General features: G+C 40.2%; 2 long non-coding RNA genes across 2 annotated transcripts in view; one reads left to right on the forward strand and one right to left on the reverse strand.

Annotated features, from left to right (window-relative positions):
- The window catches only part of LINC02826 (long intergenic non-protein coding RNA 2826), a 59,958-nt gene that overhangs the window by 1,492 nt on the left and 31,560 nt on the right, over positions 1–26,906 (forward strand). Inside the window, exons 2-4 of the long non-coding RNA NR_183612.1 lie at positions 646–736; positions 829–1,093; positions 2,094–2,215. This is a non-coding gene — a long non-coding RNA (long intergenic non-protein coding RNA 2826). The remainder of the gene's footprint in view (positions 1–645; positions 737–828; positions 1,094–2,093; positions 2,216–26,906) is intronic.
- Positions 9,236–16,981, reverse strand: LOC105370058 (uncharacterized). Its single transcript, XR_945503.2, has 2 exons — positions 16,875–16,981; positions 9,236–9,963 (listed from the first exon to the last, which is right to left on the reverse strand). It is a non-coding gene; the product is annotated as an uncharacterized LOC105370058 (long non-coding RNA).

Here is a 26,906-nt window from a genome sequence, read left to right on the forward strand (position 1 = left end):
TGAGATGAGAAGCTTCTTACCTTAACAATACCCAGTTGACAGGAGAAAAGAAGGCAGCTCAACCTGGCTAAGCAACGCGCTCAAAGTCCCTGTGGTGATGATGGGCTGGGATTCCATGCCACCTCTATCCAGTGTGAAAACCCAGTCCTTTAAAATGCATTGTGCTTTTTTACTGCTTAATGTTTACGGAAGTGTGTTTTGCCTACATCTAGAATCAAATTAAAATCAAATTAGAAGGGATGCTTACAATTTTGGGAGGATTAATGTTTTGAAGATAACATATCTGTCTTACCTCTAAGTTTTATGGGGAAAGGCAACATTCATCTCATAAGTTTGCAGGGTTTTTATTCAGAAAAACATCTTTGTATATCTTGATTGAAAAAGACATGAACTTTTGGGCACAGTCTAGGTTGAGTAAGTCACTGTGATGAGCTGAACTGCACTCCCCTCCACCAATTTATGTATTGAAGCCCTAATTCCCCAGTACTTTAGAGTGTGAATATATTTGGAGACAAGGTCTTTAAAGAGATAATTAAGGTAAAATGAGGTTGTTAGGGTGGACCCTCATCCAATACGACTGGTATCCTTGTTAAGAGGAGATGAGGACACAGACATGTACAGAGGAAAGACCATGTGAAAACGCAGGGAGAAGACACCATCTGCAAGCCAGGATGAGGGGTCTCAGAAGAAATCAACCCTGCCAACACCTGAGCTCACACTTCCAGCCTCCAGAACTGTGAGACAATAAATTTCTGTTGTTTTACTCAGTCTGTGGTCATTTTTAAATGGCAGCCCTAGCAAACTAATACAGACATCTTTTTAAATAAGTAGGGAGAACACCCAAGGAATGGGACGGTGCTGTCAAGAGGACATGGAGAAGAAAACTCTTGAACCAAGGAGGACTTAGAAACACGGAGGAGGACCTGGATGTGCCCCCATTTATGATGGCGCTAGAGCCAGTGGCTTCTCTCTTGCTCGCTCTAGCTGTCTTTTCTTAAGCTCTGGGAAAGTGGTATTTAGCTCTCAATTTCCAGGGCTCTCATTCTATATTTTGCCCCAGGGTTGTCACTAAATCCAGTTTGGTCAGCATTAGGTAAGTAGCTCTTTGGGTGACTGAGTGGGGTGGAGTGATGTCCAATAAACATCAAGGCATAATGGGCAGAGCCACAGGAACCAGGACATGGCATGGAGCGAGCCGTGGCTGGTCCAGAGCAGGTGCAGGTTTGTGGTGGGGAGGTGTGTATGTGCAGTGCTCAGCTTGCCACTACGAAAGCTCTTCACTTGAGCTACCATGTGCAGACATTGAAGAAAGGAGAGCTGAAAGACATAGGGAGCATCTGGCTTATACCTATGAACTTATAATTCCATACAATTTTTATTTTACTTTTAAACCAACACCCCTCCCCTTTCTAAGAACCACTCTTGGTTATCAATGTGCTGGTTGTTAATATGAACCTTCTTCCAATAACTGCATGTAATTAAAAATAATGATCCATTTCTTCATGGATGCTCTGTGTTAAAATGTTAACAAATTTCCCGTCAAAATTTCTCCCCCTCCTACTTTTGCCTGAAAGAGAGAAATTTCACATATTTTGGAACCTACGAAGGCTTTCCTTTTTTGGTATCTGGAGTTTAGTCTTCCATTGGCAAAATCATCTTAGTTATTCTAGGACTATCGCATCTTCAATTTTAGCCATGGAGCTCAGCTTAGACGGTGCTTCCCAGATTGTGGTGGTCCTATCACTAGTGTCGTGTAAAGTCATTTTATATGGGAAAATAAAAACTAAAATTTTGGTGATGACTCACTTATTTTAAATGTTTTAAAATTATTTTCAATACATCAAAATTATTATTTCATGAATTGCAGTTTAGCTAAGTTTAAGAATCAATGAATTGAATAAAAAATTAAATAAAAACAGTACAGGTGTAAAGAGCAAATACAATTTTAAAATAAGAGACTGACTTCTCCCTGTTGAAAATAAGAAAAATAAAGAAAGAGATACCTCCTTCCTTTTCTTAGAGCACTTTAGAGATTTCCTAATTGTAATTGTTTTTCTCTGTCTCTTTGAAATGTATGTAAATCTCTTTAAAAGCTAAAGAAGTCTTTTCCAGCTTTATGACCAGGAATGTCTTTTCTTATGAACCTGGGACTCATCCTTTTGGAATATCGTTTACAAGGAAGATGGCTGCCCTCTCTCCCAGCTTCTGTGAAAAGGTAGGAGTCTAACTTGCATAGTCTCCTTACTCTAAGTTGCAAAACTATCTCCTGTCATAAAGATAGAAAAAGTGTATTTTTTTCTGTATGAAGCCAATTAGGTAACACAGATGGTAACCTCAATTACTTGGTGAATTTAGAATGAACTATGTGTGACAAATGGTGCTGTTAGGTCCTTTACTTCAGAACTAGTTATTATTTATCTTGAGAACATGTGTAATGAGTTGTATTGCTTTGACTATATTAAAGGGTGAGATTTCTTTCTATCTTTGCAATCTCTTAGCAGATTGCCTGTGATGTGTATCACATTCTGGTTTAACACTTATTCAATAATAAAATGATAAAACTACATTTTCTTTTTCTACTATCTTTATGGGGAGATTTTCTGCGTTGGCCAGATATTTTGTTTTGAAGTGTATTTTCCCAACACTGGTGATGCACACCTATCAAAAACTACATATGTAGGTGAGATGTAGATTATCAATGGCTGGGAAACACTGAGCTAGAGAAAGACATAATACTCCAGCGAGCTAGAGAAAGACATAAAACTCCAAATACCTAAGCATTTGGGTGTCTGTTGGTTTTACTGGGTTGCCTCTGGCCTATTGGTCTATTTGTCAAAAAGTGACTGTCAGCATTTCCTCAAATGTTCTTATACAATTATTTTTTTTTCCACAATAAGAGCTAAGGAAAGGGGAAAATATTGGCATTGGTCCATTGTCTCTCTCTCTCTCTTTTTTTTTTTTTTTTGAGATGGAGTCTTGCTCTGTAGCCAAGGCTGGAGTGCAGTGGTGTGATCTTGGCTCACTGCAACCTCTGCCTCCCAGGTTCAAGCGATTCTCCTGCCTCAGCCTCCCAAGTAGCTGGGATTGCAGTTGTGCATCACCATGCCTGGCTAATTTTTGTATTTTTAGTGAGACAGGGTTTCACCATGTTGGCCAGGCTGGCCTCGAACTCCTGACCTCAGGTGACGCACCCACCTCGGCCTCCCAAAGTGCTGGGATTACAGGCGTGAGCTACCGCGCCTGGCCGATTCATTGTTTCTTTTCATAGATTCTGAAATCCAAGGGCGGTTGGAGGTAAACGGGTATACATCCTTTCATCAGCCTTTTCTGGAAAATAGACAGTATTATAAAACCAGTGATGGAAGTGTTGTATCTTTGGCTTCCCAGAGATCTCAGAGAAGTGCGAACCACTTTTATGTGAGAAAGGTTGATGTGTACCTACCAAAGGGGCCGGGGAACATTGAAAAATATCTTACAAAAGGCTTTCCACTGCTGCCAGGCTGCATGATGCATTCACATCACAACCCCATGCCTCTGGGGGAGTTCTAGCAATGAACCTGTTGTTTGCCTTATAGTGGTTGCTCTCCTCACAGTTAAGTCCTAGGTGAGGTAACTTCGGGTTTAACTGTGTGGAGAGCAACCACTAGGTGGTTGATTAGGTACTTCTCAGCAGATCTTTTTCATAGTTTTGCCAGGAAACAAGGCCTTCTTCATTAGCGCAATCGTATTATTCAAGAAATAGCATTGATGAGTAGTCATCAAAAGATTTCCATCTAGCAGGTGATGGAGATGAGAAGGAAATGCTCGTCATCATTAGTTATGAAAGAAACAATGTCTGCAGTCCAATACACTGACTAAATCTAGACCCAAGTTTTCTTCCTGTAAAAATGGATATCATATCTAAAGGTCAAGATCAATTGTGAGGAAATGTGTGAAGGCACTTAGACAAACTGCATTAAGGTAGGCTATTGATCCATAAACTCAGCTTTTGCTGTTTTTTTCTGAGTAGACATTTACATTTAGATTCTCTTGTCAATTGGTATAAAACCTGTTCTCTTTATAAAGTCTACCCTACTTTTAACCCCATAGATACTTCAGTAACTTTTAACATTTCAACCTTTAAGAATGAGGCAAAACCCCAAATAAGTCAACATTACAGCTTATTAGCTGTTTCAATAGTTTAGTGATGAAAGAGTATTAAATACTGTTTAATAAATGGCTTGGTTATATGTAGGTTTCATTTGCATTCTCCATGTTAGTACTTTCCTAACAGGCAAAACTGAGAGTTATGTGTTCTACACTTTGAAAATAGACAACGTTGTCCATGACTAGGAACTAGATGTTTAAAGCACAGGAATTGCTGATAATTTAGAAGTTTATATCTTTTCTAAAATGAACTTACACTCATATTTTATAATAAACTTTTCCTGACATGGCCAAAATAATTTGGCTGTATTTTCACCAGCTCAGAGATAACAAAGGAGGGATTAAAATACTTGTAGATTTATTAATACTAAGTCATTATCATATACAAAAAGGCAACTCCCAGAAGAAATAAAAATCATTTATAAGCCCATGAAAAATCATTTATCATTGACCAAAAAAAATCAATGAAACTAAATAAAAGAATAATGTAAAAAGCTTTTTACTTTAAGTAATGGCAGGTTAGGTAATTTTGGGATGATTCTCAGATAACTCTCCCATTAAGGACAACAGAAAAATAACAAATGCAAATAGCAGCCATTGGTTTATTAATAAAGGATTTCCAGGCTAGTATCCAGGGTTGTACAGAGAGATCCAGGGAAGGAATCCTGGACTTTGAGGCCCCTCTTCCCTGCAGGCCAATTCCAGAGGAATTAGCTGGAATGCTGAGGTCTGAGAGGTACATTGAACATCTGGTGTGACTAGGGAGAAAAGGAATGGTATTTAGGGAGTGGCTGGATGGGGGCCTGATGGACCGACACTATATTTTGGGTCTCCCCAGGATAGCACCTTAGGGGTAAATGTGAGCCACAAATAGGCAGTCCTTCACAAAGACCTCATCTGAGTTTGAAATCACCCCAACTGCGGAAATAAGATAGAGTTCATATTAGTTTGCAAGTGCCCATGTGTGACTTACAGCATCACATACAATTTCTCTCTGGAAGAAAAAAAATTCATCCTAGCATTTCAAGCAATTAAGCAGAAACATAGTCCCCCACAAATAAAAATTAAATAGGCTCATGAACAAACCAAAACACTGTAGATGAAAACCAGCAAAAACCAACACATGATAGAAACATATAGGTTAAATCCACAAAGCCTCTGCATATTGTAAGTGCTACCCACAGACTTCAAGACAACTATACATTTATGTTAAGTGAAATAAAAGATGAGACTGAAAATTATAGCAGAGGAATGGAAACTATTAAAAAAGCACCTAATGCTATAAAAGTAAGTTTTAGAAGTAAAAACAAAGAAACAAACAAAAGGCAAAATGTAAAACTTAGTGGATTAATTTAAGGACAAATTAATCATTGAAGAGACAATTAGTGGACAAGAAGATGCATCAGGGAAAAAAGTCCAGAGTAAACACCAAGAGTCAACAGGATTAAAAATAAAGGAGATAAAATAAGAACTGCAGAGGATACAGTTAGAAGGTCTAACATTTAAGAATTTATATTTTTAAAAGCAGAGAAGCAATAAAATGAGTCAGAAGCAATATTTGAGGAGATAATGGCTGAGGACCTTCCAAAATTGATTAAAGACATCAAGAAAACTGAGGAATTCCTATGAACTCAAGAAAAAATACTTTTATAAAGGATCCACAGCTGTGTCAATTACAGTAAATGTACTAAAATTCAGAAACAATTAAAAATTTCAAAAGAAATTTGTTTCAAAGAAAAAGACAGATTACCTTCCTGGGAACAACAAATAGACTTGACATCTGACTTTTCAACATAAACAATGGAAGACAGTAAACAGTGAGATGATATCTTTACATGGCTGAAAAAAATGCCAATCAAGAACTCTGTAACCAGTGAAAAATATCCTTAAAAATTTTGAAATAAACATATTTTTGACAAATAACAGATAAAAATGTATCACAGACCCACAGTAATGAAAAGTGTACTGAAGACAGAAGGAAAAATGATCCCAGGTTTTGGGTTAGAGGTGCAAGAAGCAACAAAGAGTAGAAAGGGTAAAAATGCGTGTCTATATATCGATGAGTATGGACCATGTAAAACAAAAATGAAAATGACTTGTGGGATTTAAATACATGTAGAATTAAAATACAAGACATAAACAGCATTTATGTCAGGAGGTGAGTACATGTATATAAACTGTTCTAAGACCCTTTTATGGTCCTAGAAGATACGAAAATTATCAAATTATATTCAACTTCCATAAATCGAACATGCTTTTTAATGTCTAGGGTAACAATTAAAAATATAGCAATAGAATGTAGAAGGGAATATTAGAAGCAATAGAATTAAGATGGGAAACAGAATAATAAAAATTTTGCACTATAAAACAAGGATAAAAAAGAAACGAAACAAAACAGACTAGACAGATAGAAAGCACATAATAAAATAGCAGCATAAGTTTATATTGGCAAACATATAACCTGTGAACTGACTGAACTGTTCAATTTAAAGATACTGATTTTCACTGTGAGTTAAAGAGAAAAAAACCTATATGCTGTTTATAAAAATTCATAAAAATGGGAGTGGCCTTTGGGAGATTTTACAGTGCTACTAATATTCGCCACCATTACGTTACGTGGGTAAACTTTGTGAATATCACTTTGTGATAAGTTAATGGACAATACATTTTTGTTCATACACTTTTTTTTGCATGTTTATGCTATAGCAAAGTATTTTAAGAAAAAATTCTATATAATGTTAAATTATAAAATTGTCAATGAGTTAAAAAATGGAAAAATGTGCTAAAAATGTGCAAATAATTGTGTACTCTTACACTGAACCACTTGCCCAGTGTTTCTGGCGTATATTTGATCATACATATTTTCAAAATAAATGTTGACATTTATATATCCTTTGATCTAACAATTATTCCCGGGACTATAATAAGGGATGTGAGTAATGATATTAGGTTGGAAATTATCAAGAACATTGTATATTTTAGAGAATAATTAGAATAAAATATAATAGGAGATTAGTTAAGTGAACTATGACCTTAGCACATAATGGAATATTAGTCATCATTAAAACTATATTGAAAAGTAATTTTAAAAACATAAGAATTTATTCAAAATAAACCATTAAATGAAAAACTTATAATAATAACAGCAAAAGGAAAGACTAGTATGGTGTTTATGGTGTGTCAGGCAGTGTTGTTAGCATTTAATATTAACCTTTTAGTCTTCACAACAGTTACATGAAGCAGGTACTGTCATCTGCATTGAACAGGTGATGACACATGAAGTATGGAGAGGGTGAGCAACCAGACCAAATTTGCCCAACTTTCAGGTGGCACACTGCTGCCTCTCTGTAAACGAGCATATGCAATAGAGGCCAGTCCCAGTTTCATCAACTATTATTTTTTCTAGATAGATAATATCAAATAAAAACAGATCTAAACTTAGGTAGAAAGAGAGTTTACTGAAAATGAGGATTTAAACAAGAACCAGCCAGATGAGGGAGAAATGCATATTGCAATAGGGAGGATCTTCCCATATGAGATTTGCAAGCAAATCTCAAAGGCCAGGCAGAAAGGGGACTTTTCTTTTAAAGGGAGGAGAAAACAAGGCTAGAAAAAAAAAGGCTAGGCAGAAAGGGGGCTTTTCTTTTAGAGCAGTGGTCCCCAACCTTTTTGGCACCAGGGACTGGTTTTATGGAAAACAGTTTTTCCATTGACCAGGGTGGGGGAATGTTTTTGGGATGATTTAAGTGCATTACATTTGTTATGCACTTTGATTCTATTATTATTACTTGTAATATAGGATAAAATAGTTATACAACTTCCCATAATGTAGAATCAGTGGGAGCCCTGCATTTGCTTTCCTGCAACTAGATGGTCCCATCTTGGGGTGATGGAGACAGTGACAGATCATCAGGCATTAGATTCTCATAAGGAGTGCAAAACCTAGATCCCTCGCAGGTACGCTTCACAATAGGGTTTGCACTATTGTGAGAATCTAATGCTGCTGATGATCTGATAGGAGGTGGAGCTCAGGTGGCAATGTGAGCGATGGAAAGAGGCTATAAATACAGATGCAGCTTCCCTCACTCACCTGACAGTCACCTCCTGCTTTGAGACCTGGTTCCTAATAGGCCATGGATGGCCAAGGGGTTGGCCCTTGTTTTAGAGGGAGGAGTAAACAAGGCTAGAAATAATTAGGTGTCATGAGGTGGGATGAGTCAGTGGATTGATTGGATGATTGATTAGGAATTACTTTTTTCCTGAGGTCAGCTGAGTTTCAGGAGGGGTTATTAGAAGGGGTTGTTCTGAGTTCTAATGCTTAAAGGTGAGCCAAAATTTGTGACCCTGGGGAAGGAGAAAAACCCGACTAAAGTTTCATCAAGTCAAATTAGTCGAAGTTTTATCCAGACTGGTTGGTGGGGTCAAAGGACTTGGCTAATCATTTGCCAGACAATGAATAGGAATTTGGAGGATCTATGTCTGTCCTTGTCATGGGGAAAAAGAGGGTCATTTGTAAATTTTATCTAAGTCATATGGGGAAGGGTCATTCTTTGCAGTAAACTCTAGGGGTGGGGGGATTTTTTTTGACCATTGCTGTTTCCAAGAACATTTCCAATGTCCATGCAGTAAGACACATATGTACATGGGATTGCAGACCATGATAGGCAAAAAAGAAAATTGTAAGATTAAGGGTGATGGAATTACAGATTATTTTTCCCTTTCTTTCTTTTTTTGTGCATGTATAGTTCTCTGTGTGTGTATTTATCTATCTATCTATCTATCTATCTATCTATCTATCTATCTAATCTATCATCTATCTCTCTCTCTATCATCTATCATCTATCCTATCTATCTTCTATTCTCTCTCTCTCACTCTCTCTTTCTTTCTCTCTCTCTCTCTGTCTCTCTCTCTTTACCATCAGTCTATTTTAGGCTGTTGTATTATCAAATGAGAAAACAAATGTAATGAGGAACACAATGATCAGCACATAATAAGTAGGCAAATGTTACTTCTGGCATCATCATGTCCATAAAATTAAAAGAATGTGAAAAAGTCTTTTTTTCAAAGAAAAAAAGAGAAAAATCAATATCCTGTAGACCTTTTTATTTCTAACAGAGTTTCCTCTTAAGAGAAAAGCAAAGCCCAGACCCTGAGTACTCCTTCTCTATCCTGATGACTGTGAAGGCATTTGCAATAAATCTCCTCTTGGACATTAGGTGCACATCTGAGGAAAGGCAGTGGAAGACAGGAACGTATTCCCATGACTATTGTCATAACTTGGCTAGGAAAGGTTCTTTACACTGGCAGATGCAGGCTTGTCTCTGACAGAGCCCTGGTATTTTCTTCCATCCTGGGGCCCTTGGGGAAGCCTTGGCTGTGTCATGGCACCATCTGGCCACCTGTGGATCTTTTGAGTGTGCTTTGGAGATTGCTGCCAGTGGTCTTTCTGTTCTGGCTGGCATTCCTGGAAGTATTTCAAGTGCTGGTTTTAGGAGCCCACATTCTGAAATGCCCATCTCAGGGTTTTGTTTTCTTTCATTTTGTTCTAAATATTGGAAGGAAAATATATCAAAGGTTGCTTGGTTTTGCAGTTCTCACCGGGGAGTTGAGTCTGGTAATTCAGTGCTTTGTTCAGAAGCCCAGGAATGTGAATTCTAGGGAAAATCTTGACACATATTAAGGAAGCTAAAGAGAATATTGTTCTTGGTCATTTCACTTCAAGCTGATGTTACCCAGCTGGCCACCTGGGACGGTGTCTTTACTTGGGCTTGAGTAAGTTCATAGCACAACTGGAAATGATGATCCAGGAGCTATCACTGAAACCAAATGGGGAGTAAGAAAGGCATATGAGCCTGGACTTTGGAGCCAGTCAAATAATCCTGAGTTTATTCAAGTTAAATAATGTCTCTGTGCCTCAGTTTCCTTATCTGTAAAATGGGTTTATTAATCTGCACCTACCACATGGGGCTTCGGTAAGGATTAAATGAATTATGACATGCGAAATGTTAGGAGAGTCTACTGCCTGCAGTAAGTTCGTATTATATGATGATCACTATTAAACCTAAGCATGTGAACAAATGGCCCCCAGTCAAGTAATTTTAAACAGTGTTATTTGTGTACAATATCACATGTATCTCATAGGTATACCCAAAACTTCCAGAGTGGTCACCAGTGCCTGTTTCTCTTCAGTATTTTTGTCTGTTTTTAATCCCACCCTAGACTCCTGAGCATACATGCAGACTAAAGTTCGCTTTTAAAACATAACAAATGTGAGAGATATCTTCCTGTTTTTATTTTTTAAATGGAGGAGTCTTTGATGGTGTAGCAAAGTATTTTATCATTCCTACTAATTTGAAAATGAGGCTGTATAACCCACTCTGATTGTATCTAAATTATTGCTGCTCCTGCCTCATTTCAGTGTCTGGAAAAGAGAAAATTGGATGCTGCCCACTAATAGCATGTTAACAAGGGCAGATTAGATGTAGCAAGAGGGGTTCTTTTAGTAGACTAATTGAAAGTATCACTTGGTGATTGGAGGACATTGGCTTGTGACTTTGAGTAAGCACTTCTCACAATTAATAGTGACTAATGAAAACTAAATAGTACAATAAATCATATCACTGATAGTGTAAGGGGAAAAGTCATTGGCCTGAACAACCCTCATTTAAGAACTTGGAAGCAGCACCAATAACAATTTTATAGGTGAAGACAGTAAAGCATAAGGGTTAAAGCTTTTATGGTGTAGCCAAACTGCCTCAGGTCATATATCAACTTTGTCATTTATGAGCTGCATGACCTTGGGCAAGTTACTTAATCTCAATGGGCTTCGTGTCCCTCACGTATAATCGGTGGTTTATAATAATAGCACCGAATTCATATGACCACGCATATGTTGCCTATTAATATTGTTAGGGAAGGTGTATCAGTCAGAAGGGCAGAAAACAAGTAGCACATTCAAAGACAGTAAATGGAGTGAGTTAATATAGGGAATACTCACATAGGGGTGGACAAAATTAAGGGAACCAGTGAGAGGGGGCAAAACACATGGGAACTTCTCCAGTGGAGCTGTCTTCACATGCAGGCTGGAAGGGCAGAAGTGGGCGAGATTGTCACACCCCATAAGAGTGGTGGCCATGAGAAAATGGCTATCCAGTGGTACTGTGGGCCTCCCCAGATGAACAGACTTCACAAAACCATGACCAGCAGTGAGGGAGTAAGCAAAATAAATTCCCTGATCTCTCTGTGCTCTTGTCCTCCACAATTCTGCTGGTGTCTCCATTGACTAAACCTCATCAGAAGTCGAGAGAAAGGGAAGCCAGGTGATGCTGTACAAAGAAGTCAGTCTTCAGAGCACAGAGGAGGGCGGGGAAGGGTGAAAAGTGCGTCTGGAGGGAGAGGTAGGAACTATCTAACCCAGAGGACAATGGTCTTCATGAATTCAGCTATAATGGGCATGCAATCAACACAAATAAATAAGAGGAAAAATTGCCAATATAGTTGCACACTCTTTTCTAAGTATTTCTCAATGGATGAAAATAGCTTGCACAATCCCTTCCTTGCTTCATAGGGGACAGTTTCCTATAGTTTAGCTAAAAGCAGAAACGGTGACAATTCTATCAAGAACAACATGAGCAGAAACAGAAACAGCAACTAGCATTTCTGTAATGCTTTATCATTTACAAATGCTGTAGTCTATTAAATCACAATTGAACCTCATCATAACAATGTTTTAGTTAGATATTTAGAAACATTTATAAACGAAGAAATGGAAGCGTGGAGAGCTTACTTGGCTAACTGGAAGACATTATGTTAGGCAGAATAAGCCGGAAACAGAAAGTTAAATACAGCATGTTCTCACTCATACGTGGTAGCTAAAATAAAAGTTTATTTCAAAGAGGTAAGAAGTAGAACAGAGAATAGCAGAAGCTGGAAAGACTAGGTGAAGCGAGGGATAGAGAAAGATTCATTAAAGGGTACAAAATTACCCAGATATGATTACTATACATTATATGTATTGAACATCACCATGTATCCCATGAATAAGTACAATTATGATGTGTCAATTAAAAATAACAGATAAAAATTTCAAAAAGAAATGAAATAACATTAGATCCAATTTTAAAAAAGGCTACAGTGTATTTTTTTAAAAAATGAGGTAACATTCATGTAACATAAAATTAACTATATTAAAGTAAACAGTTCAATGGCATTAAGCAGATTCACAATAGAGTACAACCACGTTGTAAATCTACACCCTTCTCAGTCTTAATTCCTGAGGGTTTTAAGATACTGTGAGATATTGTCTCACAACAAATCTTGTCATCACAGTCTTCATATATTCTGTTTGTTCCCAAAACATCATAATGAGATATAAGTTTTAAAGTAATCAACCAACCTGAATATCTTGCTGAAATAAAATTGTTGGCTGAAAAATTCTAGAAGTGTTTATGAGAGAAAAGTGAACATACATTAATTTCTTTTTTTCTTTCTTTTTTTTGAGATGGAGTCTTGCTCTGTCGCCCAGGCTGGAGTGCAGTGGCGCGACCTTGGCTCACTGCAACCTCTGCCACCTGGGTTCAAGCGATTCTCCTGCCTCAGCCTCCCGAGTAGCTGGGATTACAGGCGTGCACCACCATGCCCGGCTACTTTTTGTATTTTTAGTAGAGATGGGGTTTCAGCATCTTGGCCAGGCTGGTCTTGAACTCCTGACCTTGTGATCCACCCATCTTGGCCTCCCAAAGTGCTGGGATTACATGTGTGAGCCACCGTGCCTGGCCTAATTTCTAATTTACACATCCCTACATCCAATGTGTTTCCTCAGAATTGCCTTTAATGTGAAACTAAGGTAGGTGAGAAGAAACCTTTGCAGAAGTTCAATAAAAATGGGCCATATGTGTTCTCTCTTATATTCTCATATGCTTCCTCTCCTAAAATTGAGAAAAAGGGTAATATTTCTCTGTACCCATATAGTTTGTTTTATATTAGTTTTTGATGCTAAAAATCACTTCCATTTCTGAGAAAATGGCTTCAGAGTTTATACATTTCTCGCCTTTCTTAAAATTGAATATCAATTACTTTCTCTTAAAAGGTTTCAGAATCTATTAATGGGAAGTAGTCATCAACCTTTAATGGAATACTGTCATCCCTTAAATGCAGCTTTCGGTTTTCTGAGTTTGAATGAAAATGATCACATAATCCATAACTTATCTCTACTATAAAATGCTGTAGACCAATAGTAAAATTACATATTATCATATAATTGATATTCAGATAAGATACATTGGATGAATCCTTGGCCAAAATGAATATTGTGTAACTCCACTCATTGTTTCCAAATCCACCACCATTTTGGACTTAATTAACTAATTATACAAGTTATTTAGTGAGTGATTGACCTATTGATTAAACAGCTGAATGAAGAGAATACCAATACCCTATTTATCTTTAGTAACGGAATAAATTTATGACTCATAAATGTACAAAAAAAGGACTTGCTTGTACAAAAAAAGGACTCAGAAGATTTAGCTCTGGGGTTAGTGATTTTATTTTCTTCTATATCAACATTGCAGATAATGTAAGATGTTCTTAACAACAGATCATGGACAAATGAACAAATAAAAGAGGACCATTTAAATTGGAAGGATGTGTATAACTTGTGTAATTAGACAATTTAGCCAAAAATGGTTGCGGATTTGGGTACAAACAATTTGTCAGGATAATAATGAAAGGAGCAAGAAGTGGTCAAAGCGTATGCACTGGCAACAGTTTAAAAATATCAGATGTGATATGTTTCACTTCACTCTAAAATAGGGCTCAGAATTGTGGTTCAAAGATCACAAGCCTGAATGTCCGAAGACAACAAAACAATGCTGACTTTACCCTCATAAATTATTTTCATAAGACATTGATGGTGTTCACTCAGCAAATAGTTATTGAATACCTGTGGTATGTCAGGAACTATAAAATAGGTTATTTAGGATGTGATGATGAACCACTCACTGAGAGTGATCTCGAAAACACAAAATGAAAATCAAGCAAAGGAAATCCAACTTAGAGAACGATGTAGGTTCAAGAGGTGAAGATGATGTAAACTTGGCAAAGTAATGCTCAGAGTTATTGTGTCTCAGGTCTGGGGTCAGACAAACCTGGTCTTGAATCCCAGAGCACCCATCTGGTAATAACTCCTTATTTATTTCATAAAAAAAAAATGGGTGCTCAAGTTTTTCTCTATGTGTGTGTAATTGTCTATGTCTCTTTTTAGTTCTCAGTTTTGCTTCATATATATTTCAGGCTACATCATTAGATGCTCTCACATTTAGAATTGGCAAACTCCTACTCCACATTTTTTGCCTTCTCAGCACCTTGAGAGCGCTTTGAACTTTGATCTACTTTTTAGCATCTTTCTGTTTAGATGCACAGCACTCTCCCCTGTGTGGTTTAAGAACCTGGCAATGTTTTGAGAACAAAGTTGGAGGGTAGTGTTTACTTCTCAGTACCTCCTTGCTCTTCGAGATTATGGCCCCTCAAGTGTTGGCTTCCTTGGCAGCTGTGAACCCAATATTTGTCTTTCCATCCATGTGGAATTCCTAAAAGCCCTGCTGGATTCTTACGATATTTAATTCAAAACACTCTGGAAACACATGCCTCATAAAACCAAAGGCAACTTGGCAGATGCATCGCCGAGCGGGGATGCCAGAAGAACAAGTGTGATCGCCAATTTCGGGCAACTGAAACAGCATCAGAATTCTAGATCATTGCACCAATCTAACAGTTTTTGTTAAAAAGCCATCTCTTTCTTTCATTCTTGAGCCTTCATGCCATATTCTGCCATAAATTAAGAAGATGGGAAATATGTTATCTGGATAATAAAAACCCAGGTCAGATAGACAGTGTTCTAGTGTGTGGCCGAAAATTATCCATTTACTACTCTGAGTGATGAAGTTTAGGTGAACAAAGGGGCTTGGGAATGTTTACCCTGCACAGAATTAGGGGAGAGAGTAAAAGATGGAAATAGGAAAGAATTTAGTCCAATCATTCCCTATTATCTGATTTAAATAGTTTCAAATTATCAACACACTGCTTTCCACTGCTGAATTATGATTTCTCTGTACACACCTGCCTCTCTGTCACTAAATTATCTTTTTATTAATTGTCAGGAAACTGTTGACTTTTGTTTAACTTACCTCCTCCAGAATGCCCATTCTGCACAGAAACTCACCAAGAGAAGGGCATTTACAAGACAAGGACCACCAATCACGTCTCCCAGTATCTTTTATTGTTCTGAGATATTTGGGGAGCTAAATGGTTTTTAAAATACAGGTTTGTCATGTGTAAGAGTGCGAATGACTCTGGGATATTAGACAAAAAAACCTGACTAGTTTTGAGAAAGGACTCAAGTGCTTCTTCTTCCAGTGGGAATGGCTTTATTTATTTATTTTGAGACAGAGTCTCCCTCAAAATTAGTAGATTTCTGTGACTCATTCACTGTGCCTCAGGTTCCTATCTACACGACAAGGATAATAGTAATACCTGTTGCCTAGGATTGTTGGAAGTATTTAATGAGATAGTGCTTGCGGAGCTCAGTGCTTGGCACACTCCTGACTGGCCTTTCTCTTTCGTGATTATGTCAAGGTAAGGACAGCTTCAGAAATTTTGCATTTCTCATTCCCTCTGCTTGGAATTCTCTTCTTTTAGTCTTTGCACAGCTATTTCCAAGTTTTATGATTGTAACAGCACTTACAAGCATCTAAACTATTGTTTATATATTAGTTTTCTTGTCTTCTCTCACTAGAATGCACCTGCCTGAGGGTGGGGACCATATCTGTTTTGTTCACCTCAACAATCCCGGTATCTGCAAGAGTGCTGACACATAGGAGCTTCTCAAAAACAATTCGTAAATGAGTGAGTGAGCAAGTGAATGAATAATTATTTTTATGAGGGTGGGGAATTTTTGTAGTCATGATGGTTCCAACAAAAATAAAAATGAGAAAATTATATCAAATAGCATTTTTCGGAGTAATTTTTCTTCCTCTCCCATACACCTCTTGAGAAAGTCTCCTTCTAGTCTATATTCTTTGACCATTTTTTAGATAGGGTCTCACTCTGAAGCCCAGGCTGAGTGTGTGATGTGATCACAGCTCACTGCAGCTTTGACCTCCTGGGCTCAAGCGATCCTCCCACTTCAGCTCCCTGAGTAGCTAGGACTACTGGTGTGTGCCACTATGCCAGGCTAATTTTTTAAAATTTATTTGGTAGAGACAGGGTCTTTCTATGTTGCCCAGGCTGGCCTCGAACTCCTACACTTAAGCAATCCTCCCTCCTTGGCCTCCCAAGGTGTTGGGATTAGAGGCATGAGGCACTGCATCCAGCCTCTCCTACATTTTTGAAGTTTTGGCTAGTCTCCACTTTTTATATTAGTCCACAAGACATTGTCAAATCTTTTTTTTTAGATTAATAGACTATATTTTTAGAGCACTTTTAAGTTCACAGAAAAAAATGAATGGAAAGTATGGAGAATTCTCATCTACCCCCTGTACCCACACACATGCAACCACCCCAATTTCAACATCCCTTACCAGAGTGGGACATTTGATACAGTCAATGAACCTACATCAACACATCATTATCACCCAAAGTCCAAGGTTTTTTGTTTTGTTTTGTTTTGTTTTTCTGCTAAGTGTTCACCCTGGCTCCTTAAGGGGAAGTTCATCAATTAAATTATCTTTACCTGGTTCTGCACTTATATGGTCACTGTGAGAAGGGGTAGGAGAGAATGCCTCAGTGGAAAACGTAAGAAAGGGCTCTCATTCATGTGACCGGACTTCATGAAGACTTGGAAAAGGGCTATTAGACACTGCAATTTTGTGCTTCCATTCCAAATTCTGGTTCCTAGAATTCAAGAACAAAGGCATTCTCTAGGTAGCAAGTTAGTTGCCTGGGAGAGCCATGTTGTTTGTTGCTCAATGAAAGAAAAGAAATTGCCCAAAATCCAAGTTGACAAGATAATGCCATTTACAAATGGTGCACAAAACCCGCAGAGATCATCAACTTAGGGCACCAAGATTTACACTTTAATCATCAGCAATTTATCTTACTGGTATGTGAATAATATGCTTCTGCTTATTTTAATCTTCATCTCACACCGAAATCTACCTGGTGATTCTAACAGGACTTCTCGGTAAATGAAGGGAAATAAGATAAAGCTCTTCTGTCACCCCAAGTTTCCTTTGATCACCGTCTCACTTTCATCATATTGTTTGGCTCTACTCCAAGATTCATACCAGATTTACAACAAATTGCTCAATACAAGGAGCCCCTCATTAATATCTGGGAACAGTGTGGAGTGTTGATGGTAGTTTCTAAACTCTCATGATCTGGGGGAATCCTGAACTCAGTCAGTCGTTATAACTGAGGGAGAAAAATCACTGAGGTCTATTCGAAGGGAATCTTACAAATAGTGTCTATATTTTATTAAGTACTCTAATTGAATATTGCTTTTCTGCCAGAGACTTAGGTATGGAGAGTGCAGTGACTTGTGCATTAATATTATGATTAGGCAATCATGGCAGGGGTGGGTGAAACCATCCGCTGTGATGCTCTCTCATTAGGAGGATGAGAGACCCTGTGATGCAGTTTGGATTTACCCTCCAAATCTCATGGTGAGATGTAATCTTCAGTGTTGGAGGTGGGGTCTTGTGGGAGGTGTTTCCTTCTGGAGGGCGAATCCCCTCATGAATGGCTTGGACCATCTCCTTGGTGATAAGTGAACTCTCACTCCGAGTTCACATGAGATCTGGTCATTTAAAAATGTGTCGCACCCCCCAACCCCTTCTCTCGTTCCTGCTTTCACCAGGTTTAGGGCCTGCTCCCACTTTGCCTTCTGCCACTAGTAAAAGCTTGCTGAGGCCTCCCCAGAAGCAGATGCTGGCACTACGCTTCCTGTACAGTCTGTAGAACCATGAGCCAATTAAACCTCTTTTCTTGATAAATTACCCAGTCTCAGGTATTTATTTATAACAATGCAAGAACAGCCTAATACAGAAAATTGGTACTGAAAAGTGGGGCATTGCTATAAAGATACCTAAAAATGTGGAAGTGACTTTGGAACTGGGTAATAGGCAGAGGTTGGAAGATTTTGGAGGTCTCAGAAGACAGGAAGATGGGGGAAAGTTTGGAATTTCTTAAAGACTGCTTAAATTGTTGTGACAAAATGCTGATAGTGATGTAGGCCATGAAGTTCAGGCTGAACAGGTCGCAGATGGAAATGAAGAACCTATTGGGAACTGGAGCAGAGGTCACACATGTTATGCCTTAGCAAAGAACATGGCTGTATTATGTCCATGCCTTAGGGATCTGTAGAAGTTTGGACTAAAGATTTAGGGTATCTGGTGGAATGAATTTTTAAGCCACAAAGCATTCAAGCTGTGGCTTGGCTGCTTCTAACAACCTACGCTCAGATGCAAGAGCAAATAAATGACTTAAAGTTGGAACATATATTTACACAAGAAGCAGAGTGTAAGAGTTTGGGAAATGTGCAGCGCAGCCATATGGCAGAGAAAGAAAAAGCTTTTTCAGGAAAGGAATTCAAGCAGGTTTTGGAGCAGCCACTTACTAGAGAAATTTGTATAACTAAAGGAGACCCAAGTGCTAATAGTCAAGACTATCGGGAAAAGGACTCCAAGGCATTTCAGAGAACTTTGTGGCAGCCTCTCCCATCCCAGGTCCAAAATCTTAGGAAGGAAGAATGGTTTTATGGGTCAGGCCCAGGGCCCTGCTACCCTGTGTAATCTCAAGACACTTCTCCCCAACATCCCTGCCACTCTAGCTTCAGCCTCAGGTCAATGGGGCTCAGCTACAGCTGGGGCTGCAGCTCCAGAGGGTGCGAGCCATAAGCTTTGGCAGCTTCCACATGGTGTTATTCCTGTGGGCATACAGAGTGCCGAAGTTGAGGATTGGCAGCCTCCACCTAGATTTCACAGGATGTATGGAAAAGCCTGGATGGCCAGACCAAAGTCTGCTGTAGGAGAAGAGCCCTCACAGAGGACTTCTACTAAAGCAGTGAGGTGGGGAAATGTGGGGTTGGAGCCTCCACATGGAGTCCCTAATGGAACCACTGCCTAGAGGAGCTGTGAGAAGGGGGCCACCATCCTCTATACCCTGAAATGTAGATCCACTGGCAACTTGTAGCCTCAGTATGAAAAAGGCACAGGGTTTTCATGGCTTTTTCACAGGGAAAAACTCCACAGGGGTGGAGGTTCCCAAGGCCCTGGAACACCAGTTCTTGCATCGATGTGCCCTAGATGTGGGACATGGAGTCAAAGGAGATTATTTCAGAGATTTAAGGTTTAATCACTGCCCTACTGGGTTTCAAATGTGCATGGGGCCTGTGGCCCTTTCTTTTGGCCAATTTCTCCCTTTTGGAATGGAAACGTTTACCCAATGCCTATAACCTCAGGGTATCTTGGAAATAACTAACTACTTTTTTATTTTACAGGCTCATAGGTGAAAGGAATTTGCCATGTCTCAGATGAGACTTTGGACTTTTAAGTTAATGCTGGAATGTGTTAAGACTTTGGGGGACTGTTGGTAAGGCATAATTGTATTTTGCAATGCGAGAAGAACATGAGATTTGGGAGGGGCTGGGGTTGATATAGTTTATATATTTGTCCCTACCCAAATATGTTGAATTTTAATCCCCAATACTGGAGGTGGGTTCTGATGGGAAACGTCTGGATCACAGGACTGGATCCTTCATGGCTTGGTGCTGTCTTCACATAGTGAGTGAGTGCTCATGAGATCTGGTTATTTGAAAGTGTGTGGCAACTCCCTTTTCCAATCTTCTCTCTCTGGCTCCTGCTTTTGCCTTGTAAAGTGCTTACTCCCTCTTCACCTTCTGCCATGACTAAAGCTTCCTGAGGCCTCCCCAGAAACATATGTTGGCACTGTTTCCTGTATAGCCTGCAGAACGATGAGTCAATTTAATCTATTTTCTTTATAAATCACTCAGTCTGAGGTATTTATTTATAGCAATGCAAGAACAGCCTAATGCCCCCTGCATCAGTCTCCTCTCCTCCACTCACTTCTTGTGTAATTGACTATATTTATATTAGGAATGCTGTAGTGTAGGGCCTATTATTTCACGGGTTGTCTTGACATCTTTGGGCCTTGGAGGGCCTCCAAGACTAACTGGGTGTTCTCTACTCTCATCAGATATGCCTCCTCCGTAGCTGAAAAGATATGCCCCCTACCCAGCTAGTTCATCTATGGGCTGGACTGCTTGCACTCCACCATGTCCTCAACCTAACCAATTTTACTTCCCTGGTATTCCACAGAATCATTGAATCAAGTCAATCACATCCTCCTGTCAGAACCAGGGGCACCACATTCTCACATTCTTTTGTTACTACAAAGCCTGCTTCCTACAGCTCCTGATGGTTCACTTTGTTCCTTTTTTTTTTTTTTTTTTTTTTTTTTGCTTTCCAACGTTTATTTTAGTTTCGAAGGGTACCTGTGGAGGTTTGTTACATGGATAAATTGCATGTCTCAGGGATTTGGCGTACAGATAATTTTGTCACCTAGGTAATCAGCATTATACCTGATAGGTAGTTTTTCATTCTTCACCCTTTCCCCATCCTGCACCCTTAAAAGGTCCCAGTAAGTACTGCTTCCTTATTTGAGTCCATGTGTATGCAATGTTTAGCTTCCACTTTGAGTGATAACATGTGGTATTTTGTTTTCTGTTCCTGCCTTAGTTCACTTAGGATAACGGCCTCCAGATGTATCCATGTTGCTGCAAAGGCCATGATCTCATAGCTACATAGATACACAGTATTTCCTGGTGCATAGTATTCCATGGTGTATCTGTACCACATTTTCTTTATTCAGTCCTTCATTGATGGGCATCTAGGTTGAGTCCATGTGTTGCTATTGTGAGTGGTGCTGCAGGGTTCTTGATTGCAGTCTCTGTGTTCCCCTGAGGGGTGTCTGGTGTTCACTGACCTCTCCCATTCTGTGAGTATATGTGGCTCACAAGCTACAGTCTACCTCACCTGTGCAGTTTCAGGTGCTATGTGTTCACCTGTCTTCTATTTAGGGTGAGGAGTCCCTCCCTCACCAACAGGATGAGTAGAAAGTGCTCAGAACAGGTGTCCTTCCCAGGTCCTCTCGAGTCCCCTTTGCCAGTATTCTGTGCTCTTTGAACGCCTCAGAGTAGTGGCACTCCAAGGAGAGCCTTGAGCTACTAGGGCAGCCTCACCTTGGGACAGGACAAGCACCTGGGCATTTACACACCCCTGGAGCAACCCATAGCCAGTGGCTGAATTGTGTGGGGACACAGAAGCCCTGGCCCTTTGTTTCTAGGCAGTATAGACTGAGGTGTGGTTTCACACATCCTGTAGGATCAGACAGGGTTGAGACTTTACCTTGAATCACATCCTTGCTTTTCTTCTCCCTCTTACTTCTTGTTGTCCTGAGATTAACTCTTTCATAAATCACAGGCACTGCAATCCTTCACATAGGGCCTGCTTCCTGAAGAACTCAAACCAAAAGAAAAGCTCATCAGCAAACTTAAAGGGCTGGTTCCGAGATGGGATAATTCCCTTGATCCCTTTGTGGAACTTGCGACAGGGGTGTGGCTCGTTTACTCGGTTGCCACAGGCTCAAACCCCTTGTGAGAGGGAGTGTGTGAGGGAGCAAGTGTGGGAACTGGAGCGAATGAATACTGGAACCAGCCAGTCACTCCTCTCTGGTGGGAGCAGGCTCTGTGCAGCCCCACAGCAGTGTCCAACTGTATTACAACCAATGCCCTTTCAGCTCTGTCACCCAGGGTTGGCCAAGTGCCAACCAGCTCAGTGGAGGGTCAGGGTGACAGCCCCTGCCCTGTTGGCACCTGGGTTCTTGTCCAGCATCCAGGAAGAATCAGGTCACATGAGTGGATTGATGGGTAGCATATAAGGAGGATTTTACTGGACGATGGAAGTGGCTCTCAGCAGGATGGGGAGTTGGAAAGGGGATGGTGCGGGAAGAAGGTGATCTTTCCCTGAAGTCTGGCCATCTCTCGCTGGGGCCCTCTCCAAAGCTGCACCATCTGAGGTTAGCTGTGTCTATCCAGTCTCTGACACTCAGTTGCTTCTCTGCTTCCTGCTTAGCCACTTGTATCCTCAGTACTCAGCCACCTGTATCCTTGCTGCTGAGCCACTGGTATCCCCAGTGCTCAGCCACTTGTATCCCTGACACTCAGCCACTTGTGTTGCTGTGTCAGCTGAAGTCTTTTTATGGGCACAGGATAGGGGCATGGTAGATCAAAAAGGCAAAATTTGGGTGGAAAAACAGGGTCAGCCGTTTTCACTTAGGGCTGCGGTTCCAGGCTTAACGGTGGGGTTCAGTCAGGAGCCCTTCTGTATCAGTCCTATATTTAGAAATACAGGAGGTACAGATCTCAACATTGCAGGCTAAGGAGTCAGATTGGCCTGGTTTGGTGCTCTAATTGTGCTTCAATTCCTCTATCAGTAAAATGGGTGAATAGTTTTTAATTCACGGGGTTGTTGTGATAATTTATAGAAATGGTACATGTAGCTGGCATGGTACAAATAAAGCACTCAGTGAATGCTAAAATCTTCTCACTGATCTCTCTTATTCTCAGAATGAGGACACAGAAGTTTTAACTGCTCTGTGGCTAGTAATGATCTGACTTTGGAGTCACGTGAAATTACTTTTTAAATACTTCATTTTAAATTTAGGAAACAGAGTAATCATCTGCTATGTTTCACTGTGAGATTTTTTTTTCTTTAGACATTGTCTCACTCTATGGCCCAGGCTGGAGTGCAGTGGCATGATCATAGCTCACTGCAACCTCTGCCTCCCAGGCTTAAACAATCTTCCCACCTCAGCCCCCAGAGTAACTGGGACTAGAGGTACGTGCCACCATACTTGGCTAATTTTTGTATTTTTTTTTGTACAGGTAGGGTTTTGCTATGTTGCCCCAGCTGGCTTTGAACTCTTGGGCCCAAGGGATCCACTTGCCTCGGCCTCCCAAAAGGTTGGGATCCCAAAGTGTGAGTCACAGCTCCTGGCCATATACATATATATGTATATGTGTGTGTATATATACACACACACATATATACACATATTAGATACATACTTACATACTTACACAATGTTTACATATATATATATATATATATATATATATATAAACACACATTTTATATATAAATATATATACACATTTTTTTGAGACAGGGTCTTGCTCTGTTGCCCAGGCTGGAGTGCAGTGGCACCATCATAACTCACTGCAGCCTTGACCTCCTGGGCTCAAGCCATCCTCTCACCTCAGTTTGCCAAGTAGCTGGGACCACATATATGTGTGATTATGCCTGGCTATTTTTTTTTTTTAATTTTAATTTTTAGAAGAGACAGGGTCTCACTATGTTTCTCAGGCTGGTCTTGAACTCCTGGGCTCAAGCAATCCCCCCATCTTGGCCTCCGAAAGTGCTGGGATTACAGGAGTGAGCCACTACCACACCTGGTGAGATCTTTTACAAAAGTCTTTAAAGCTACAAACCTGTGTTTACAGGAATATATTTATTATAAGACTGCATTTTCCATCTTCCCTACCATCACAGTATTTCTTTTTTAAAAAAAATTAAGCAGTAAGTAGTGTTTGCAGTGAGCTTGGAGGTTTGTTGGTTATGAATTACTTGATTGAGGAGGGGTCAGGGGAAAGGCCTTCTAATCACCATGTGGCTGATGTTATTAGTTCCTAAAGAGTCTATGACTAGGCTCCACTTACACATTCTCCAGACCTTTCTGTGCCCTGTGTCTCTCAATCTACACCTACTGTAACAATTGTTGATTTCTCTAAAGGATCCAGAAAGACCTAGTTGAAATGGACAGTTAGGGAAAATAGTCACACAAGCCCCTGCCCTGCCCCCACCAGCCCCGGTGTTCAAAAGCGAACCTCATGCTGACCATGCCTTTTACAGGAGTAAAGAAACCTTGGTGTTAGGGATCTGACTAGTACTATCTGGTTCTAGAGATTGGAGTACATTGGAATATGGCATTTAAGCATATATTAGAAAAATAGCAGAATGATTTTGGCCAGGGTGTTAATTTAGGCTGCTAATAAGAAAAACTTTTGGACTGCCCCTGTTTAATTCTAAGATACTTCATTTTCAAGCCAGAAACCCCAGACCCCAATAGCAATGGAACCAGGAGCTGAAGCAGGAGGGCCTGGTTCACATACACATTAAGTTTGCAATACTATTTTAGGAAAAACATAAGTGGGAGCAACCACGATGTTTGCCTGGCTTTGTACTTTCTTCCCTGGCAAACCTTCACAGAGATGGCCTGTTCTGTCAGTTGAACATTTAGGCTACAAAAGTTGGAATCCAGGCACCTGGGGAAGAGCCTAGAGACCCAGCACCTGCAATTGTGTATTTTTCTGAATCACTTTTTGAATCTGAGAGAATGTCACTTTACCTTATTAGTCCCTGATCCAAATCACAACTAATTGTTGGCATTACCTATCTTCTATATCTCAAAAAGTCCCTAGATAAGACCTGAATAAAATCTGTTTCTGTGGAAATTCAAGAAACAGGAAGGATGGCCAGGTGTGGTGGCTCATACCTGTAATCTCAACATTTTGGGAGGCCGAGGTGGGTGGATCACCTTAGGTCAGGAGTTCAAGACCAGCCTGGCCAACATGGTGAAACCCTGTCCTTACTAAAAATACAAAATTAGCTGGGTGTGGTGGTGCGTGCCTGTAATCCCAGCTACTCGAGAGGCTGAGGCTGGAGAATTGCTTGAACCCAGAGGTGGAGGCTGCAGTGAGCCAAGATTGCACCACTGCACTCTAGCCTGGGTGAAACAGAGCAAGATTCCATCTCAAAAAAAAAAAAAAAAAGAAAGAAAGAAAGAAAAAGGAAGGAGAAGGCAGAATGTGACCGGATCAGTAGTGTCATCTCTCCCTGAAGCCATGTGTAGAAGGTCTGGGCCCTTCTTCTGAGCACAGCCCAAGTGCTCTGTCCCAGAGACACAGGATGTTTGCTGAAAAACAAACTGTCCAATGGCTGAAATGAAGATATCATGTCCCCTTACCCAGGACACCTGAACTTCCCCCACCCCCTACCTGCACAGGGAAATTCAGCGGTAGTAGAAAGAATTCCGTATTGTAATTCAGAGGCAGAGGCTGTGAGGTTGGGCTCCCCATGTCTCCTCTCTGAATCTGAATGAGAGGCTATTGCATGACATCTGGGGTCCTTCCCAATATATTAAAACCAGACACTAACAAGTCTCGGTTTCTACTTGCACCCTCTGGGTTCCACCCACCTGTCTGAGGACCTCACAGCTGCTAAGTGCAAAAGAGGTGTCTGGTATTGGGTTCAGAATGGAGAAGCTGTGGAAGCATTTAAGCTGCTGGCTTCAAGGTGCAGTCCTTGCAGGGTTTTAGGATGGAGAGGCAAGCACAGGGGACAGGGCAGCACGCTGAGGTCTAGGTGAGATGGCTGATGGAGGAATCCATTTACTGGAGTGTTTTTAATGAGGTCAGGTCAGGGCCAGCTGCGCGTCTGGTGTTGTGGGGATTCCAGGTGGCAAATTGCAGGTTCCTGTAATACCTCTGTACCAGGGAGGTGAATTTAGAGCATTTTGGTGTGTGTGGTAGAGGCAGGTCACTTGGTTATGTGACTCTAGGGGCATCGTCACATTATGTTTTATGTAAAGGGAGCCCCTTAGAAATTGAATTATTAGGGATGAAGAAACACTTTGGAGACCGCAAACCTCAGGGGCAAGGAGCAAGCCTGGTAGTTTTTCCTGGGAGAACTGATACTGCGGGGATAGCGTCTAATTCCTATTTTCTCCTATGTAAGAGCTAAATGACTCCTCATCCTTCCTTTCAGTTCCATGTGCTCAAGCACTTTCAACTTCAAGAATCCTAAATATTTATAGCTTCCTCCTTAAACTGAATCTTAAATAACTTGATCTCAATCGATAATCAACTCATCCATCAAAGCAAATACATTTTAAAAATCATTTTTATTTATCCCTATTGAAATGATTTCTCAAATTGTCAGTGCTTCTAGGAACATGCCTTGCACATAGTAGGGATGCAGTAAATAGCTGTGGTTTGATAAAGTGGCATCAATTTTCTAAATTGTGCATGTGGAAGAAATGACAATCAGCATGACTCTTTTCCTTATGTTTAAATTTTCAAATGCCAACTTGTCTGGTACGTAGTGAATACTCAATACACACTGGTTAATTGAATTGCTTAATTGAATTTTTTAGAATAATCTTCACACTCTTCCAGAAGCAGACAGGATTATGTTGAAATAATCTTTAGTTTCCATTTGAAAATGCTTTTTCTTCTTAAAAGCTGTGGTACATCTTCAGTCCTTTATTATATTAAAAAACACACTGAGGGCTGGGTGCAGTGGCTCATGCCTGTAATCCCACCACTTTGGGAGGCCGAGGTGGGCAGATCACTTGAGGTCAAGAGTTCGAGACCAGCCTTGCCACCATGGTGAAACCTAGTCTCTACTAAAAATACAAAAATTAGTTGTGTGTGGTGGCACGCACCTGTAATCCTAGCTACTTGGGAGGCTGAGGCAGGAGAATCACTTGAACCTGGAAGGCAGAGGTTGCAGTGAGCTGAGATCGCACCACTGCACTCCAGCCTGGGTAACAGAGCAATACTCCATCTCAAAAAAAGAACAAAAGAAGAAGAAGAAGGAGAAGAAGAAGAAGGAGAAGGAGAAGG

This window comes from Homo sapiens, chromosome 12, assembly GCF_000001405.40.
Source record: "Homo sapiens chromosome 12, GRCh38.p14 Primary Assembly".
In the NCBI taxonomy this organism is placed as follows: Eukaryota; Metazoa; Chordata; class Mammalia; order Primates; family Hominidae; genus Homo; species Homo sapiens.